This window comes from Homo sapiens, chromosome 12 (assembly GCF_000001405.40).
Source record: "Homo sapiens chromosome 12, GRCh38.p14 Primary Assembly".
NCBI lineage: Eukaryota > Metazoa > Chordata > Mammalia > Primates > Hominidae > Homo > Homo sapiens.
This window is the reverse complement of record NC_000012.12, coordinates 96,805,042-96,824,485: the sequence shown is the minus strand read 5'-3', so window position 1 is coordinate 96,824,485 and position 19,444 is coordinate 96,805,042. Positions and strand designations below refer to the sequence as shown.

The following is a 19,444-nucleotide window of genomic DNA, read 5'->3' as shown; positions in this document are numbered from 1 at the left end:
ACAACAGCATGATGGGTTATTGTAAGGATTTCATTAAGAGCCATGAAACAAAATGACACTGTCTATGTCACTAATCAATTCACATCACAGATGAAGAGAGCAATGCTACCTGAAAAACGCCTTGCCCTGCTTCAGCTCAACATTTTTCAAACAGAAATTTTGCTTGAATGACATCCTTTTAATCTGGCATTACTTGAGGTAAACCGCATACACATGTTCTGAAATTGGCTGACTGGAGGTTGGGGCTGTGAGTTCCTTGTGTGACCTTGCTGCCACAGAGATGAAGAAGGGGAAGGCAGGGAGCTCGCCTGTCCCAGCCAGAAAGCGGTTGGATGCACGCATGCTGCAGCTAGCGAGGGGCTGGGAGGGCACAGAATGACCCTTGCTCAGTCTTTGCCACTTCTCCCTTAAAAAGAACATCTGCTATTTCTATGAGCAGTGGCTCTCTGAGTGACTTCAAGATATTAAAGCCAATTCTTAGATTTGGTTGAAATCATCATTTTCCTTCATCTATAATGTGGGTGGGGGGAGAAAAAACTTCCTAAGTTGCTTTCCAGCCTCCAAACTCTTGCTTCCCTCGTCTCTCCTTCACATGCCACTATGATTATCTTGGCAAATCATAGGGTGGATCATGAGCTGCCCTTCCAGGCGAGGTGCTGCCCCTACCTTGTCCTAGGCCCCAAGATCCAGCCCTGCTTTCCCACAGCCCTCTCTTACAGAACAAAATCCTTTCACCATTTATCCATTCAACATCAATCAAATTCCTCCTATAGGCCACGAAGGAGGAATAGGAGATGAACAAAACACAGAGAGCCCATAAGGAGTTCATGGCCTAGTGAGGGCAATTGGAGAGACAGACTCCTACTGCACTTGGTGGTGAGATCAGAGCAGAGGAAGCACATAATTCCACCCAGCCTTCCTGAGCCATCTCCCACTACATTCACCCTGTACTTCTGCCACAACAGATCTTATTGTTTCCTGAATATGAGATTCAGTTCCATGACTTCATATCTCATCTCTTGCTGTATCCACAGTCTGGAATGAGTTTTCTCCACAGGTCTCCAACTAGAAGTTTCACAAACTATTAAGGAAGCACTAAGGTTCAGTTACTGGGCTAGATATTGGCGATATAATGATGAATAAGCCCTCTGAGCAAAGGAATTCACAGTCAAGAGAGAGGAAGAGACAAGTCATCAGCTAATTGCCTAACTAATACAGGATATTTGGGGATGCAAGGAAACATGGCCTTAATTTCAGTCTAGAAGGGCTAGAAAATGCTGTGTGAGCTATTTAAGCAAGCACAAAGTCTAGCTCAACTTTCTCTCTCAAAACACACACACACACACAGACACACACACACACAGACAAACACACACGATCTATGTAAATGAGACTTTAAATACAATCAGTTAGAAGAGTTTGCATCAGTAACCCCACTGCCAAGAAGGAAGGATTCTACAACTCTACCTGTCTATACAGTGCAGAATGTAGATAATGGGGAAATAGGAAAACTGGAAGAAGTCAGAGGTACTAAGTTGAACAACATAATAAATTGCTGAGCCAGACTGGGAAGGAGAAAAGAAACAAAAATCTCTACATAGACTGAGTTGGAGGAAAAGGTGTTGGAGTTTGAGCCAAATGAGACAGATGTTAGAGAGCTGCTATGGATGCCAGAGAGCTATGAGAGCAAGACAGCTGGGGAAAAGAGGATTTACAAGAAACTTTTCTGTGTATTCTAAAGGATTCCCCCTGGGATGTTCCTATAAGAGACAGGAAAGATTTAGATTATTTTCAATGGTTTGGGACATCAGACTGACTGCCACACTTTCTTACGACAGAGCTACTGGGTGGCTGGGCTCATTAGGAATGACATCTGGGTACCTATGGCCATACTCGTACATTGATTAAGCTCCTCTGTGACAGGGACCTGGTTATATTGATTTCTGTATATTCTCACCTCCTCAAGCCTGGAAATAGTTTGCACATAATAGTTCCTCAAAAAGAATTTGTGAATTGATGCTAATTTCCAATTGTATCTTGCTCTGTGTTCTCACAGTACTTTAATAGTTGGGATATACTCCCTATATATTAATTTTAATAGTCTTACAATCAGGCATTTCATAAATGTTTGCTGAACTAACCTTAGGTGACTTGGCAAACATATTCTAAACTTTTCATATCAGTATGCTATCATTCCAAATAAGGTGTATGCATCTTAAAATCAGGGTGTTTTGCATCTTCCATATGCTTTAGAACACCTGACAGGCTCTGAACACTCCCGTTAACTGTGAATGACAGATTAAAATAACTCAGCCATTCACAGCCAGTGTTGTTCACTTTAGAAAAAAGGATACACAAGGTTTTCAAGCCAACAGTGATTGGAACACCTGTTCTGTAGTCCTCCCAATACATCTTAAATTAATATATGTGTTCTGAAGTTCTTGGCTTATTCTGGACCCTAGGGTTTTGGGGGGATATACATAAAAGGGAGTGAAGAAGAAAACAAGATTCACTACCTTCCCCCCATGTCAACCAAAGACACATTTTCTGCACCCTTATATTCAATAACCCACCAACAATCTATACTGTTAATAGAAATAAATAGATTATGGAAGCTATGAAATCCTGTCCAATTCCAGACCAGAATTGATCTCTTTTAGAAGTGTCCTACTTAACTTCTAATTAGCTCCATGTGAAGGTTGTCATGACAACAAACTAGCAGATTTAGTCAATGGAATTTATCTGATACAACCCAGAATCGAGCTTTTTTTTTTTTTTTTTTTAATAAAGTGCTCATTAGTATTGTGGAAAATAGAAAAATTTATATGTAATTTCATTTCTCAACTTTCAAACGCTGTGAGCTAATTTGCTTGCCAATTCACCTAAACGAATATTAGTGTTCCTTCTGTCTGGTGATATTCTTCCATATATAGAACTAACGGAGCCAGAAAATATCTAAAATGCCCCACGTTAAAGCTGAAGAAACACTTTCTAGGTTGGAGAATAAAACAAATTCAAAAACACAAAGAAGAACATTAAGAGTGAAAAGAGTTTGTTCTACTTGAGGATTGATCCAGGCACACCCACCATTTCAGTTGGAACAGGAAAGCAAGCCATAAGCCTTTCTTAAGGCAAGGTAGGTCCTCCAAATTCCTCCCTCCACTTATCTTCAGACACCACCATACCCTCGACCTCATTTATTTCTTATTTGTTTATATTTATAGTCAACCTCTTGACTCAGATGCTGGGTTCATTTTGATGAATTTGATACCTACATCTGCCCACCAAGGATGTTTTGGTGACTCTCAGTCCACCCAAAGAGCCCATCTCTCCATCTCAGAGCAGGATTTGAATGAAAAGATCATTATGGAGTTCAGAGGAAAATGAGCTCCAGGAAAAGCTAAGAGACGGACCTTCAGTAGTAAAGCTGAGTGGCAGAGGGTACAATCTAGAATCCTTACTCTAACAGATGCTCATTCTCCTGCCTCAGACAATCTAAGCTGAAAATGGGTTCAGAGGAAAATAATCATTTTCCATATATGAACCAGATAGTAGTGAATTTAGGGACAATTTCAGCAAAGAATATTCTAGACCATGGCTCAAAAACAGCAATATGGTAAATTTGGTATGTGGCTTAAAAACTGTCATTGTAGGTATTCTACAAAAGAAGTATAAAAATAGAGAGCTGAATTATTTTTGAAAATAGACATGAAAGGGCAATCATGCACTTTATAAAATAAACCTATATCTATAGTTATAGCCATAAAACCTCCCAAGTTTGAGATAGTTTGAGTTATCTGATATATTGAGGGATTTATTATAAGCACTCAGTACATCATTAAGCATCATAATTCATGTTGCAACATTGGAGGACACTGAAAAGGATGTTCAACCAAAATTCTAAGACATCTGCCCCATGATATACCTAGGCACAGAGCACAGAAGTCATAAATGCTGAAAAGTGGCATTTTGCAAAGGCTAACTGTACTTGCACAGTAGATTCTCTTATGGTTAGGCTTGCTGCTTTTACAATAATGAAAAATGCATTCATTCACTCTACTGATGAATTCAAACTAAAAATGCCAACAAGTACCTTCTAAATATCAGGAAAGTTGCTGACTTTTACACTTTCACATAATGAAAGTGTATAGATGAGGTAAACAAGAAAACAAAGCCAAAACAATAATATTCTTTCAGAACTAAAAATATTTTGTTACTGACACCCAATTAAATATTCCTAGCAGAACATGATTTAAGTCAAAAAGATATACTAGACCAAAAATAAAGAGAAGATCCTAAAAGCAGGAGAGATGGGTAGAATTAAGTGCTTCCTCTGCTCTGATATCAGCAGAGTGAGGCAAGAGTCTGTGTCTCCCATTGCTCTCACGAGACCATAAGCTCCTAAGGGCTCTCTCTGTGTCTTGCTCATCCCCGATTCCCACACCATGGCAAGTAGGAGGCATGCAAAAGATGTTGAATGAAGAAATGATGAATAAAATTTGTTTTGTAGGCAAGAGTTCTGGAAAAGTGAGGCTGGGACCCAAGTAGCTGGGAACTCAACCCAAAAAGTGTCACAAGGAGGGCCCAGAAGCAGGGCTATGCAGCAGGCATGAGAGCATTCAGTCTTCAACTGCAACAGGAGGGTGGGAGGCTCCAGAGGAAAATGCGTTTGAGACATTATTTGATAAATATGAATACTTCAGTAAAAAATCTATGGATGAACATATGAAAGTTCTGATGTAATGACTGAGAAAATATAAAGAATAAAAGACAAGTCAAGAAAAATCCAAACACAAAAGAAAGGAAAATAACTATAGTACACTACTTGACTCAGCTGTGAACATCATTTACAGGGTCATAACACTGAATATTGATTTAATTAAATTTTGTGAGGTAACAATACATAGAAGAGAAGGGAAAAGAAGAAGTTGGGGAGAAGTATAAGTGAGCTAAATCCATATATATCAGACAGGGAATCAATATATTGTCTAAAATTGATACCTCCAGAAAAAACAATAATTTCTGGCTTTCAGCATGATTCATCATTTTGTCTGGCTTTCTGTCTTCCAAACTGGTGGCACAATTGTTGGTACAGCATATAAATTATTTGGCTAATGAACAAACTGTTAGTGGAAGTGCTATGATGGAAGTTTTATGAGCCAGTGTGTAATGTGCCCCTTCTTTCCCTCCCGCCACAGTGACTGGTGATGTTCCATGATGAATGTGCCACCCACCTGGATGCTGGCATGAGGAGACATGAAGCAGGTCCCCAGCTGACTCACTCAGATTTGGAGGCTTTTCATTACCCCATCTTTCATGACCGATACTGAATATTATTTGTAGGTGTGAAAGCAAATAACAAACGTAGCAGCTAAAAGTGGAAAGTGGTTGCCTCTGCAGAGCGGAATTGTGGAGTGAGCAGAGGTTGGGCAGCAGATTGCCTTTTTTCGTTTTAAGCCATGTACATCTATCTTTTAAACAGCTACAATAAGTACAGAATACATCTCTCAAGAAATTAAGGTACAAATGGTAATTTAAAGAACAGGTAATTAGGGGAGAACATATATTCCCTACCCTTCTCATTTCCATAAAGGGTAAGGAATTTCCATATCTCTCCCAAAGAAGGCAAGACACTTCCAGCTTCTTTTGGATTTACCCACAAAAGAGTGGAGTGACTTATCTCATCAGTGAGTTTGGGAAAAGCAACAGAGCATGCTAGGCTCAACCCCTTCTGGGCTATCTTTGTTTATACTTTTTGGAGGCACCCTGCCTGCAGAACTATAATTCTCTGCTCTCCATGCAGTAAGCTTGAGTGGGGCAGAAGGGAAATGGGGAAACCCTGTGGTTACACAGGTGTGCCAGATGACTGCATGACTAGGTGGGCAAGTCTGGCTAATTCAGGGGTAAAATATTAGTGTGCTCATTTGGCCACAGATCTAAAGCCAAGTTCACTAATCAGCTTTATCAGTAATGATGCTGACATTTTGGTCTCCATATAACTGTCTCCTGTGCCCCAGGAGAACTGAGAACTCAGGAAGGGACAGAAAACCCCCATCTCCTCCAAAATACAAACATCGGTCATCAGAAAAACAACTCAGCTGTGTGACCAGACTTAATAGCATACTATACGGATAACAGCCTTTTTTGTTAGAAAAAATATATGTAATATAAAAAGTCTGAAAAAATATGCTTATCTATATTTTCTAGTTTTTCTTCACATATTATTTGGGAAATAAAAGTGTTTAAATAATAGATTTAGAGTGAAAAAAGATAAAAGTAATATTGCAAAGTCACAAAGCATTATTTCTTAGGATTCACAGCTATAGCTGAACGATTTATCTGGATTCGTTTGTGTTCATTCACCATCAAATTCTTGTAATTCGTATGCTTAGAAGACCTTCAGACCTTCAGAAGACACACTACATATGTGTCAAAAAGTTGAGTCATGTCTCGTACTCTGAATAAACTAGAGGCAGAAGAATTACAGAGTTTAAGTCCAGTTACATAGTTCTGCTTTGAGGATATAAAAGATAATCTATAGCAATGTCATTTTCCATTATTTAACAACTTACTTCCATTTCATTATCAACTGATTCCTCTTCCACTTCTACTTCATATATGTTTTCATTTGAGGTAATTTCAGGAGCTGCTGGCAATGATAGTTCAGCTATTTGAGCAAGATTAGATAATTTCTCATGAATTGCAATAACCCTGAAAATAACAAATATATATGTATTTTATTTGAAGAGTTAAGAAAGGTATTTATGGCCGGGCGTGGTGGCTCACGCCTGTAATCCCAGCACTTTGGGAGGCCGAGGCGGGTGGATCACGAGGTCAGGAGATTGATACCATCCTGGCTAACATGGTGAAACCCCGTCTCTACTAAAAATATAAAAAATTAGCCAGGTGTGGTGGCAGGCGCCTGTAGTGCCAGCTACTCAGGAGGCTGAGGCAGGAGAATGGCGTGAACCTGGGAGGCAGAGCTTGCAGTGAGCGGAGATTGCGCCACTGCACTCCAGCCTGGGCGACAGAGCGAGACAGAAAAAAAAAAAAAAGAAAGAAAGGTATTTATTTGCAGCATCAATAACTTGTATAAAGTAAGCCCTCAGTTATTTAACGATTAGATTTCTGATATCGCCAAGCATCATTCATTCAGTAATTCCCTTTATTCAAGAAACATGAGCAAAGAGACACAGTCTTAACTTTCATTATGTTTATGGTCTTGTCATACATGCAGATAAAAATATAATTAGAAATTGCAAAAGCACAATAAAAAAGGCACACATCTAAAATATTGCTGAAGATGAAAATAAAGAAAATAATTATCTATGTGGTGAAACAAAATCTAGGCAAAAGCAAAAGATTTACTCCTATGGAAGTCTTAATGCCATGCTCTGACTATCCGCTGACCTGCAGGTAAGAATTATGACAAGTGAGCAATGACTCTAGAAGGTCAGTCAACGGACCCATAACAATTCAGTGTATTGCATGTGTGTCGGGAATGGGAGTGAAGAGGGTGGAGGAAGGGAGGTAGGGAGAAGAATCAAGAAAAATGGAAAAGTAAAAGCCAAAGGAGGGCACTAGCAATGATGCTGAAGACAAGGTTCACATGCCAGTTAACAGTGATGCCCTGAAGGCAGAGTGGACCAGGGGAGTGGAGGCAGAAGGTGAAAAGGCTTACAGTTGAAGAAGGCAAACAGCCACCTGCATGGCCCCAGTGACTCCACACTACAGGCACAACACACATGTGCATACATGTGTTTACATATGTGTGTGCACATGCATGTCTCCATTCAAGGAAGGAAGAAAATTTTTATGCAAAAGAAGCAAATGATCCCAAAAACAAACTGACATCAGGAACATAGGCAAAAATGTCAATTTTCCAATTGTCCACAGCATCCTCATCTGCACCACTGTGCAATACTTGATTATCCTAATGATAGCTCTCAGCAATAAAAAGTTAAAAATGTAATTACATATAAGAGGATTTGAATTTATATAGTATGCCTTAGAAACTTTTCTGTTAAAAAGGCAACAGTTAAATGCAAAGATTTGTTGTTAAAGTTTACTTGAAAAACTTACCCATTGAAAAATGGGTCATCCTATACACCAATAATAGACAAACAGAGAGCCAAATCATGAGTGAACTCCCATTCACAATTGCTTCAAAGAGAATAAAATGCCTAGGAACACAACTTTCAAGGGATGTGAAGGACCTCTTCAAGGAGAACTACAAACCACTGCTCAAGGAAATAAGAGAGGACACAAACAAATGGAAAAACATTCCATGATCATGGATAGGAAGAATCAATATCGTGAAAATGGCCATACTGCCCAAAGTAATTCATAGATTCAATGCTATTCCCATCAAGCTACCATTGACTTTCTTCACAGAATTAGAAAAAAACTACTTTAAATTTCATATGGAACCAAAAAAGAAGCTATACAGCCAAGACAGTACTAAGCAAAAAGAACAAAGCTGGAGGCATCATGCTACCTGACTTCAAACTGTACTACAAGGCTACAGTAACCCAAACAGCATGGTACTGGTACCAAAACAGGTACATAGACCAATGGAACAGAACAGAGAACCCAGAAATAACACCACACATCTACAACCATTTGATCTTCAACAAACCTGACAAAAACAATCAATGGGGAAAGGATTCCCTGTTTAATAAATGGTATTGGGAAAACTGGCTAGCTATATGCAGAAAACTGAAACTGGACCCCTTCCTTACACCTTATACAAAAATTAACTCAAGATGGATTAAAGACTTAAATGTAAAACCTAAAACCATAAAAACCCCAAAAGAAAACCTAGGCAATACCATTCAGGACACAGGCATGGGCAAAGACTTCATGACTAAAATACCAAAAGCAATTGCAACAAAAGCCAAAGTTGATAAATGGAATCTAATTAAACTAAAGAGTTTCTGCACAGCAAAAGAAACCACAGGCAACCTACAGAGTGAACAGGCAACCTACAGAGCGGGAGAAAATTTTTGCAATCTATCCATCTGACAAAGGTCTAATATCCAGAATCTACAAAGAACTTAAACAAATTTACAAGAAAAAAACAAACAACCCCATCAAAGAGTAGGCAAAGGATATAAAAGACACTTCTCAAAAAAAGACATTTAGGCAGCCAACAAACATATGAAAAAAAGCTCATCATCACTGGTCATTAGAGAAATGCAAATCAAAACCACAGTGAGATACCATCTCACACCAGTTAGAATGGCAATCATTAAATAGTCAAGAAACAACAGACGCTGGAGAGGATGCGGAAAAACAGGAACACTTTTATACTGTTGGTGGGAGTGTAAATTAGTTCAACCATTATGGAAGACAGTGTGGCAATTCCTCAAGGATGTAGAACCAGAAATACCATTTGACCCAGCAATCCCATTACTGGGTATATACCCAAAGGATCATAACTCATTCTACTATAAAGAAATATGCACATGTATGTTTACTGCAGCACTATTTACAATAGCAAAGACTTGGAATCAACCCAAATGCCCATCAATGATAGACTGGATAAAGAAAAAATGGCACATAACACCACGGAATACTAGCAGCCATAAAAAAAGAGTGAGTTCATGTCCTCTGCAAGGACATGCATGAAACTGGAAACCATCATCCTCAGCAAACTAACACAGGAACAGAAAACCAAACCCTGCATGTTCTCACTTATAAGTGGGAGCTGAACAATGAGAACACATGGACACAGGGAGGGGAACATCACACACTAGGGCCTGTTGGTGGGTTGGGGACAAGGGGAAGGAGAGCATTAGGACAAATACCTAATACATGTGGGGCTTAAAACCTAGGTGTCAGGTTGATAGGTGCGGCAAACTGCCATGGTACGTGTATACCTATGTAACAAATCTGCACGTTCTGTACATGTATCCCAGAACTTAAAGTAAAACTTAAAAAACAATAGGTCATCTCCAATAATGCTGGAAAAGGTGTCTGATGCATTGGAGAGAAAAGAAGATGAGGAGGTGAAAGACTTGATGAGTCATGCTTGGTTCCTTCAAACTCTAGCCATGAAACCTTAGACTACTCACTTAATCTCTCTGACCCTGAGGTTCCTTCTACTGTAAGACTGGAATAAGAAAATCTACTTCATCCAATTCATAAGGCTTTTGTAAGGATGAAATGACATAAGTATGTATGTTCTTAACCACAAGTAACCACATGAAGGAAAGATAGTATTCTAAAACGCCATTCTTTTATTCCAATACCTAGAGAAAGAAGTCTTATTTGTCTTCCACAAATAGCATAGCTTTCCTTTATAATACTTGGGATTCTAGGAAGGATAAACCGTTCTTTGACATTTGGGTTTCAGATTGTACATGAGTGTCCAGAACTTCACTGCCTGTGCTGGCAGAGTAAATGGCCCCATCTAGCTCCACAAAGAGCAGTCTGGGAACGGGCAAAGCAGGCTGAGTCCTCATGCAAAGAGCAACATCAGATGACTTGAATCTTGGTGTGAGGCCTGGACCCCATGACTGCACCTGCCTACATCTTGCTCCCTCCCTTTGTGCTCTGGCATGCATTTGCCCCTCACTTCCCTGTCCTCCCACGTACTTCTTCATTTCTGTCCTCCAGGTCAACGCCTGTTCCAGCTTTTTAAACCTTGGCACTACAAACAAGCATCTACCATCCCGTCTGGGCTCCCCACAGCCGCTGCTCTAATTTACTGACTCCTAGGCACTCTCTCCCAGGGTCTGCTGTGGCCTGGAGGGCAGGACCCAGTTGTAAGTAGAAACATGGATGACTGTAGGTTTAAAGGCAGAGACAGTAGGCAAGGAACTTGATTTTGGTCACAACAGCACAATTTAGATAGAACTACACAGAAGGTTTTATGTCTGTTCATTGAGAACACTATTGTTTCCTTTGTTGCTGTAAAAAAATGCAAAGAATTAAAATATACTTTTTCTTATGAGAACTTAACTAGGAGATGAGGAAGTGAATGATAAAAGGAGGATGTCCCAATTTGCAGGTTATCCAAGTTTCTTCTTCTCTGGCCTATTTTTTCTGACCTGTTTTACTCCTACTTTGCCTTCCAAAGGATGATCAGGACCAATTTCCCATGTACTAATCTTGAGCCTCATAAGAACACAAGGAATGCCACCCAGGATGAGAGAAATAGTTTATTTTCACAGTGCCACCAAAGGACAAGGAGATAAAAGATTGTTGGGCATGGTCCTCTGTGATGGCCTCAGTGGCTGGGGCTTGTCACTAATTTTAGTAACCCTACTATTGATCAGAAGTACACCAAAATTCAAAACTTTTTGGAATAAAAAAAAGAAGCTTATCAGTTTGATGACTTTCTACTTTATAGAAATTATAATCATTTTCATCATATGGGGCTGGAAAAATCTACATTTCTGGATTTACAAAGCAAGTGCAGAATTACCTGATTTGGTTGCTTAGCTATGCTGGTCTGTAGCCTGTACCTAAGTTTTTGACCATTTCACTTGGAAAAGAAGAAAGGAAAGGGAAAGGAAAAGAAGGAAGAAAATAAATTGACTGAATGAAAATAAAGAGGAGAGGAGTGGAGGGAAGGAAGGGAAGAACAGGAGAGAAGAGGAGAAAAGAAGAAAAGAAAGAAAAGAAGGAACAAATAAACTGACTGAACAATTGAAAATATGCCCAGCACTTGAAACAGCCTTTGTCTCTTTCATGGTGATGCCAAGAAGTCATTCAAAATGAAAATCATGGAACATAAACAAGACTCTCAAAGGAAGGACAGAGAAACACTAATTCTCTGTTTACCAAGCCATTGATGGAAAAGGCGTTAGTGATGGAACAGGCTTTAGTGATGGAACAGGCGTTAGTGGTTAAGCTTTTCAAAGCATGTTCACACACTGTCTATCTTAGTCCTGACAATAACCCTGAAAGGCAGGCAGAGCAGTTATGATCATTTCCATCCTACAATGGAGGAAATGGAGGCTAAGGTCAGAAGGGCAATGAACAATGGAGTCAAAAATAAACTAAGTAATAAATGAAAAAACAACAACAGGGAAATTGGTAAAGTGAAACAGGAAGAGAGAAACGAGGCATGAGCAAAAAGTTAAGAGAGATGACCTGTTTGATGGAGAGGGAGGAAAACAACCTAGATGAAGCAGAGACTTCTGACTGGGCACAGAGGGAAAGGTGGGCCAAGGGAGGTAGTGGAGTTTGGGCTTAATTTTGAAACTCCATACAAAGCCACATTAAATTATTTTTTAACCACGCTGAAACTACAGGCAAAATATAGTACAGACAACATCCTTGTGCTCTCTGTAATCTCTATGAAGCATGTATGAACTGTTCCTTCAGCAACCCTCAGTACTATTATTAGTATTATTCCCATTTTACTATAAGGAAACTGAAGTACAGAGGTTACATAAACTGCCCAAGGTTGTGAAGGTAATAAGGGGCACAACTGGTATTTGAATGAAGCAGGCAGGATTCAGAGTTCATGCCCTTAAGCACTGCAATATAATATTCCTCTAAACAAAAGGAAGATTCTTCGCGAAGTGCCTTTTAGCAGGTCTCCTATGCTACACCTTGCCAATTACTGAAAGAGTCTATTCTCGTGAGAGATAACAACAAAGACAATTCGAGTTGTGGAATTTTTACTTGCCTATTCAGTGGAATCCATAAAGAGCCAACACATGTACTGTTATAAGTGGAATGTCTAACATCTGAAATCTTCAGAGGCTTCAAATTATATGCATACAACAATAAAACCTATAAGAAAAATAAAAGGGGTATAAAATGTGACATCAAAATTAGAGTTTAGCTCAAAAACTACAGCATTAGTTCACAAAATAATATCACTGTACTTTGAAAAGTATTTGTTTAGAAGAGAAAAATTGGGTTTTCAATTCACCTGAAAGAGAAATGATGTGAACCAGAATTGTACAAAGGTTGTAGGATGAAAATAAATACTATTTGGTAACAATATGATATTATTTTTGAAGAGTGACATTTTGTATTGCAATTAAGTTTATATTTCAGCTTTTGAAGGCCCTCTACAGTAAGTATTAAGCATACACCTGGTAAATAGCCAACTTTGTTCCTTGTTACTTCTCAATGTGTACCGTTCCCATAAGTGGGCATAGTCATTTCTATGAGTTCACTTATGCTGTTGCCTTCCTCTTCTCTCCATTTATCCAATCCACACACAGCTTTCTAGCCACCACAGCTAAGATGAAACGTCCCTTGATGATTCATGCTCTAGTAATTTCCCTGTTGTTTGGATTCTGACAATTCTTAGAGTCAGTTGCATAAGTTATAGCACCTACTTAGTTATGGATTTGTAGCGTTTGAGAGTCACAGAAGCTTAGAGATAATCTGGTCTAATTCCTTCATTTCAGATATAAGAAAGCTATTGTCCAGAGCTGCCAATCAAAACCGAGTAATTAGGCATATTGAGGCTCAGAGAACAGAGCCCCAAAGTAACAAAGGACGTTAGAAGGCCTTAGAAACTACCTCAGAACCAAGACCTTTTAACCCAGCACAGGTAGGGGCTCTCTCAGGAGGTTCCCGTATCTGCCTGAGAAAACTTCTTCCAAAAGACGTACAATAGTCTTGAAGCTCCCTTTCTAGGAATCTCATTAAATAACCAAGAAAGATTAAGCACCAGAGAGGAGAAAAGACTAAAAGTCATCACCAGGCCCACACAGAGTTTTTGTCTATTCTTCTGAGGGCAGCTTGGAGAGATTGCCTGGGAGACTTTATCTGCATAATCGGACAACCTTTGTTTGCAGTGTTGTGCTACCGCTCTTCTTCCCATAACTTCCCACAAGCTATTGTCTGTTCTTGGTCCCATTCAAACAGATCATTCAAAAACTATGGTCTACCCTTTGGGTCCATTCAGTTCCGGTATGAGTAATTGGGTAATCATTCTCTTGTTATTTTCCTGTGCTTATACACATTACTAAATTTGTATGCTTTTTCTCCTGTTAAGCTATCTATTGTCAGTATTATTTTGGTAGACTTTATTAGACCCAAATCTTTAGAAGAGGAGGAAAAAACTCTCTTCACCCCTAAAAGCACATGCCTTTACCTCTGCTTCCTCACAAAGTAAACTAAGATAAGAGTAAAGGTATTTTTAAAAGGCGTAAGTACACAAGGACAGAAAGAACACAAGAGGAGATGAAGCAGACAAAAGATGTTAGCAACACTATGAAGGACAGAAAGCACCTGGAAGAACAAAGCTGACTCAGCAGAAAGGAAAGGCTGTGTCCTAAGTGTTTTCAGAGGGGTTGCCAACAACAAGCATGACTGAGAACACCGAGAAGCTCAGGAACTGGAGGCTCAGGTACCTTTAAAGGCAGGAGTAGGTGGCACTGCAAACAGGGAGTAACATTAGACAACCTCCCTTTCATCTGGGTGGGTACAACCTGGAGACTCCTCCTTTCCCTTGCCTCCTCTCTCCCGGCTGAACTTCTTCTATTTTGCTCTCTGCTTATGTTAAATCAGAGAGGATCTATGCTAAGGGACGTTAGGTACAACGCTCAGGTGCTTTACTAAAAACATTGGAATTAAGTGAAAGTCTGTATTCTGAATGAGAGACATCCTGCTACCCCACAACAGCCCCTTCTCAGAATGTAGTAAATTAGGCAGGAGTCTAACAGAATTGTCTTTGGGGAAACTGATATGTCAAAGAGAAAAGACCTACAGGTGCTGAAATTTCATCATCCTCCAGTGAAACTACTGCCTCCTTCTGCAGTTATCCTGTAATGAGGCCCACAAGTCAATATCTAACTAAATATGCTTTTTAGTGTTTCACTTCAAACATAAGTAGACAGTCAAGAGTCACTAGACAGGAAATGAAAGGCAAAAACTAAAACTAACAGAAGGGAAATTGCAGAATAAGATATAAGACAAAGATCAGGAGAAAACTCCAATGAAACCATAATTAATATCCTCAGATAGAAGAAAGACAACATTGTATCTGTGAAACAAGAACAGGATACTAACAAAATGGGACAATCAGAGAACAAGGAAGACTACTTAAAAATAAAAATATGATCAAAACAACTAAATAATCAAGAAAAGATTGAAAATATAAAGTTGAATCCATCTCCCCAAAAGTGAAACCTAAATTTAAAAACGTAGATAATAGGGAAAAAAATGAGAAAAGTAAACACTTAATCCAATTGGTTCAATAACTGAATAATAGAAATTCCAAAAGGTACTAAGATAATCAGAGGGAGGAAATTATTAAATAAAAAAAGGCCATGAACTGAAGAATATTACTTTCCATTTTGAAAGGGCCACCCTAAATATCCAGCACAACAGATGAAAGACTCACACCAATGCGCATCATGGAATTTCAGTACATACGGGACAGAGGGAAGACTGAGAGCTAGCAGAGTCACAAATAAAGAACTAGGAATCAGAATGGGATCAGACTTCTCAACAGCAATGCAAGATTGCAAGTGGAATAATGCCCCTCACATTTTCAGGGAAAATAACTGTCAGCCTAGAATTTTATGCCAAGAAAACAATGAATTAAGCATTAAAATAAAGATCTTTTGTTAGACATTCAAGGTCTTTTTACCTCCTGGGTAATCTCAGTTAGTTTGCTGCAACCCTGTTAGCATATAAGGGGAATGTAGTCATGGTATTGGCCCTTGGACAAACCTGAATAAAATGTGTTAACCAGTAATTGACGCAGTCCTGTTCTAGGGTCTGAAACACACCAGGGAGCAGCCTATAACATCTGGTCTGCATTTTTTATAGAAAATGTGCATACTAATGATTGGCAGCTGGATCTATTATCTTCACTTCTATTATTAAGTCTGGGCTCACACGTGTTTTTGACTACATAAACAGAGATATAAAAGGCTCCTCCTCAGATAAGAGAGCAGCTTGAGACCACGATATGCCATATTTTGGTGGTTTATAATCCATAAATGAACTGTGTCCTATGTGACTGAGACTCTGAAAGCTGCCCCTGGATATCTTGAGTGTCTCAAATGATCACCTGTGCTTTCTTTAGCCTTCCATGCCTTATCCTTTCTTTGTGAAGTCTCGTGAGTACTCTGAAAAATTAGAACCTCTAATACACCCTTTTTCAGGAAGCTGGAAGATGTGTTCATCTGACACAAGAGAGTAACTCAAGACAGAAACAGGAGACCCAGGGAACCCAACTTAGAGAGAGGGGAAGGAATTTGCAATAGAGTGACGAATGGGACTCTTAAGATGATAGTTGAGCCATAAGAGCAATCAGTGCAGAGCATGTCTCTGAAGAAGAAAAACAATGGAACTGAAAGATATGCTGATGAGTTTGACCAAATGGAGAAGACTGTATAGTTCTTTGAAAGTTTGGGAAGAATTAGAGATTATTCCCAAACTTTCAAAAAGGCAAAAGACTGACTCTAAGTTAAAGATAAGGCAACTTTTTTCTTCAGGAAAGAAGAAGGCAGAAATAAAGGAAGCAGTAACCTATTTGGCTTAGCCATGAATGATACTTACATAGTCATAATGCAAACACAGACTATGGGCAAGTCAACATTCATGCCTCTGGCTTCTTCACTTGTGAAATGGAGATGTGTAATCCCTATTCCATGAATCGGTGGTGTGAGGACTCAATGAGTCCATGTGAAGTGCTTAGAGCAATAATAATTCTCTAAGGCATTATTTTAGCTCATGATCACTCCTGGCTCCTTACCCTTCTTTGGTGCTTCATTCTTCATATTCTCTTAGACCTACTGCTAATCCCAAGATGACTTCCCATTCGATCTCCCAGCCAGTATTTGCCTAATCCACTAATACTTAGTTCTATTCCCAGCTTGTTTTCAGTCTTCAAGGGGCCAGTTTCACCCTATATCACCTTTATACTTCAGGGTGGATTCAGGAGGAGAAATACACTCATGATGGAACTTTCAATGCTCCCTTACTCACTTCTGCAAAGACTAGTTTTTCAATGGCAAAGAAGTGATATGGTTTTGAAAAACACTGAGGACTATTGAATTTAAAATGTATCTTATGTTTAGAATCCCTTATAGCCCAGGAATAAGTGAAAGACGAGCTCTCTTGTACTAGGTGGAGTTGATTGCCTGACTTCCTCATCTTTGTATCTTAATCACCTAAGAAAATACCTGGCATATGGTATGTACTCAATAAATGTTTTATTAATTAGTAAGCAGCTAAATTATATGTGTTTGTAAAGAAATCAATAGTAGGGATGAGAAAAGTTTGGTTCTCATTCCTGTTTATGTCACTAATGAGTTGCAGCATTGGTCAAGTCACTTTACCCACATGGGACCTTACTTCCTCATCTATAATATGTGAGCATTGAATAGATGTTCTCTTAGTTTCTTTTCAGTTCTGAACTTTGCCTTGGGTGGTACCAAGAGAAGTCAGAGAAGGTTTCCAATGGAACCTACTATATGATGCAGCAGTGGAGAATCATCATTAGAACTGTAAGCTGCATTAGTAGCAACGGCACAGACCAGTGCTTCACAAACTTGAATGTGCATAATACTTGGGAGTTACTATTAAAATGCATATTCTGACTCAGTGGGTCTGAATTGAGAGTCTACATTTCTAATGAACTTCCAGGGGATGCTAGTGCTGCTGGTTCTCAGCCACACTTTGAGTCGCAACAGCCATTTCAAATGTCAGTCCCTATCTCCCTTAAACAGCTTTTGCCTTCCCAAGCTCCCTGAAGCTGGATGTTATTTTGGGCCCCATCTGAAGGATCAGGCTCCAGCTAATTGCATGGTCAACCTGGCCCAAAATCCAGAGCACCTCAAAGGGAATCCCTGGGCCTCTGCATGGTCCCTGAGTTACAGCACTTCCAACATCTAAGTTGATCATTGGGCTTCTGCTTTTATTATGACTTAGTAGTTTTCCCAGGAACCCTAAGTCTTCCTTCAGTATCCTGCTAGGACTGAGCTTGTCTTAAAATGCACAGCTTGTTTGTTTGGGAACCTGAAACAGAGTATAGCTTTTATTAGGGGTATAAAGTCTTCCAGAAAAGAGTACTAGGTCCACATCTCTTATTTGTAGACTGGCCGGATTCCTGCACTAAATAAACATACCTCCAAATACCGTTTCAGTTCCATTCAAGTTTGTGTTTTCACTTGACGGAGTCTTGCTCTTCAATGCCGTGCTTGCTCAGACTTCCTGCACTTGATCATCCTTATCCATCTGAGTCTTCTATGGCCTTTGAATACTTTGCCTTGGACTGTCCAACTGCACTCAATAAAACAGCCTTTGTTTTATTTTTCCAACTTTCTTTTTATGTTGTTATTATATATATATATATATATATATATATATATATATATATATATATATATATATATTTGGCTAGTGACAAAGTCTTGGCTTTTAGAGTACTCATCACCTAAATAGTGAACATTGTACCCAATAGGTAATTTTTCAACCCTTACCCATCTCCCACCCTCCCACTCTTTGTAGTTTCCAATGTCTATTATTCCACTGTGCATGTCCATGTTTATTCATTGTTTAGCTTCCAATTCTAAGTGAGAACATGTGCTATTTGGCTGAGTTATTTTAGTTAGGATAATGGCCTCCAGTTACATCCATGTTACTACAAAAGACATGATTCATTATTTTTTATGGCTGAGTAGTTCTTTATCCAGTCCTCTACTGATGGACACGTAGGTTAATTCCATATATTTGCTATTGTAAATAGTGATGCAATAAACATACAAGTACAGGTATCTTTTTGACATAATAATTTATTTCCCTTTGGATATACACCCAGTTGTAGAACTGCTGAATCCAATGGTGGTTCAATTTTTAGTTACCTGAGAAATCTCTCTACTTTTTTCCATAAAGATTGTACTAATTTACATTCCCACCAACAGTGTTATAAAAGTATTCCATCTTCTCCACATTCTTGCCAATATCTGGTTTTTTTTTTTTTGACTTTTTAATAATAGTCATTCTGACTGGTGTTAAGATGACATCTTATTGTCATTTTAATATTCATTCCTCTGATGATTAGTGATGTTGAGCACTTTTTTACATGTTTGTTGAAAACTTGTATATTTTCTCTTGAAAAATATATGTTCATGCTTTTAGTCCACTTTTTAATGGTTTTTTTTTCTTGTTGAGCTGCTTGAGTTCCTTGTAGATTCTAGATATTAGATCTTTGTTAGATACATAGTTTGCAATTTTTTCCCATTCTGCAAGTTGTGTGTTTACTCTCGTGACTATTTCCTTTGCTGTGTAGCTTTTTAGTTTAATTAAGTCCCACTTGTCTATTTTTTGTTGTTGTTGCATTTGATTTTGAGGACTTGGTCATAAATGTTTTGCCTAGGCCAATGTCCAGGAGAATTTTTTAGGTTTTCTTGTTGGATTTTTTTAATAATTTCAGGTCTTATGTTTAGGTCATTAATCCATCTTCAGTTTTGTATCTGGTAAGATGTATGGGTCTAGTTTCATTCTTCTGCAA

The 19,444-nt window shown here is 38.9% G+C and overlaps 1 protein-coding gene across 2 annotated transcripts in view; it reads right to left on the bottom strand.

Annotated features, from left to right (window-relative positions):
- Positions 1-19,444, bottom strand: part of CFAP54 (cilia and flagella associated protein 54) — a 385,979-nt gene that overhangs the window by 51,070 nt on the left and 315,465 nt on the right. For both annotated transcript variants that reach the window (NM_001367885.1, NM_001306084.2), the window contains 2 exons: positions 12,644-12,750; positions 6,573-6,711 (listed from right to left, as the gene is read on the bottom strand). In NM_001367885.1, coding sequence (NP_001354814.1) covers positions 6,573-6,711; positions 12,644-12,750 — 246 coding nt within the window. The remainder of the gene's footprint in view (positions 1-6,572; positions 6,712-12,643; positions 12,751-19,444) is intronic.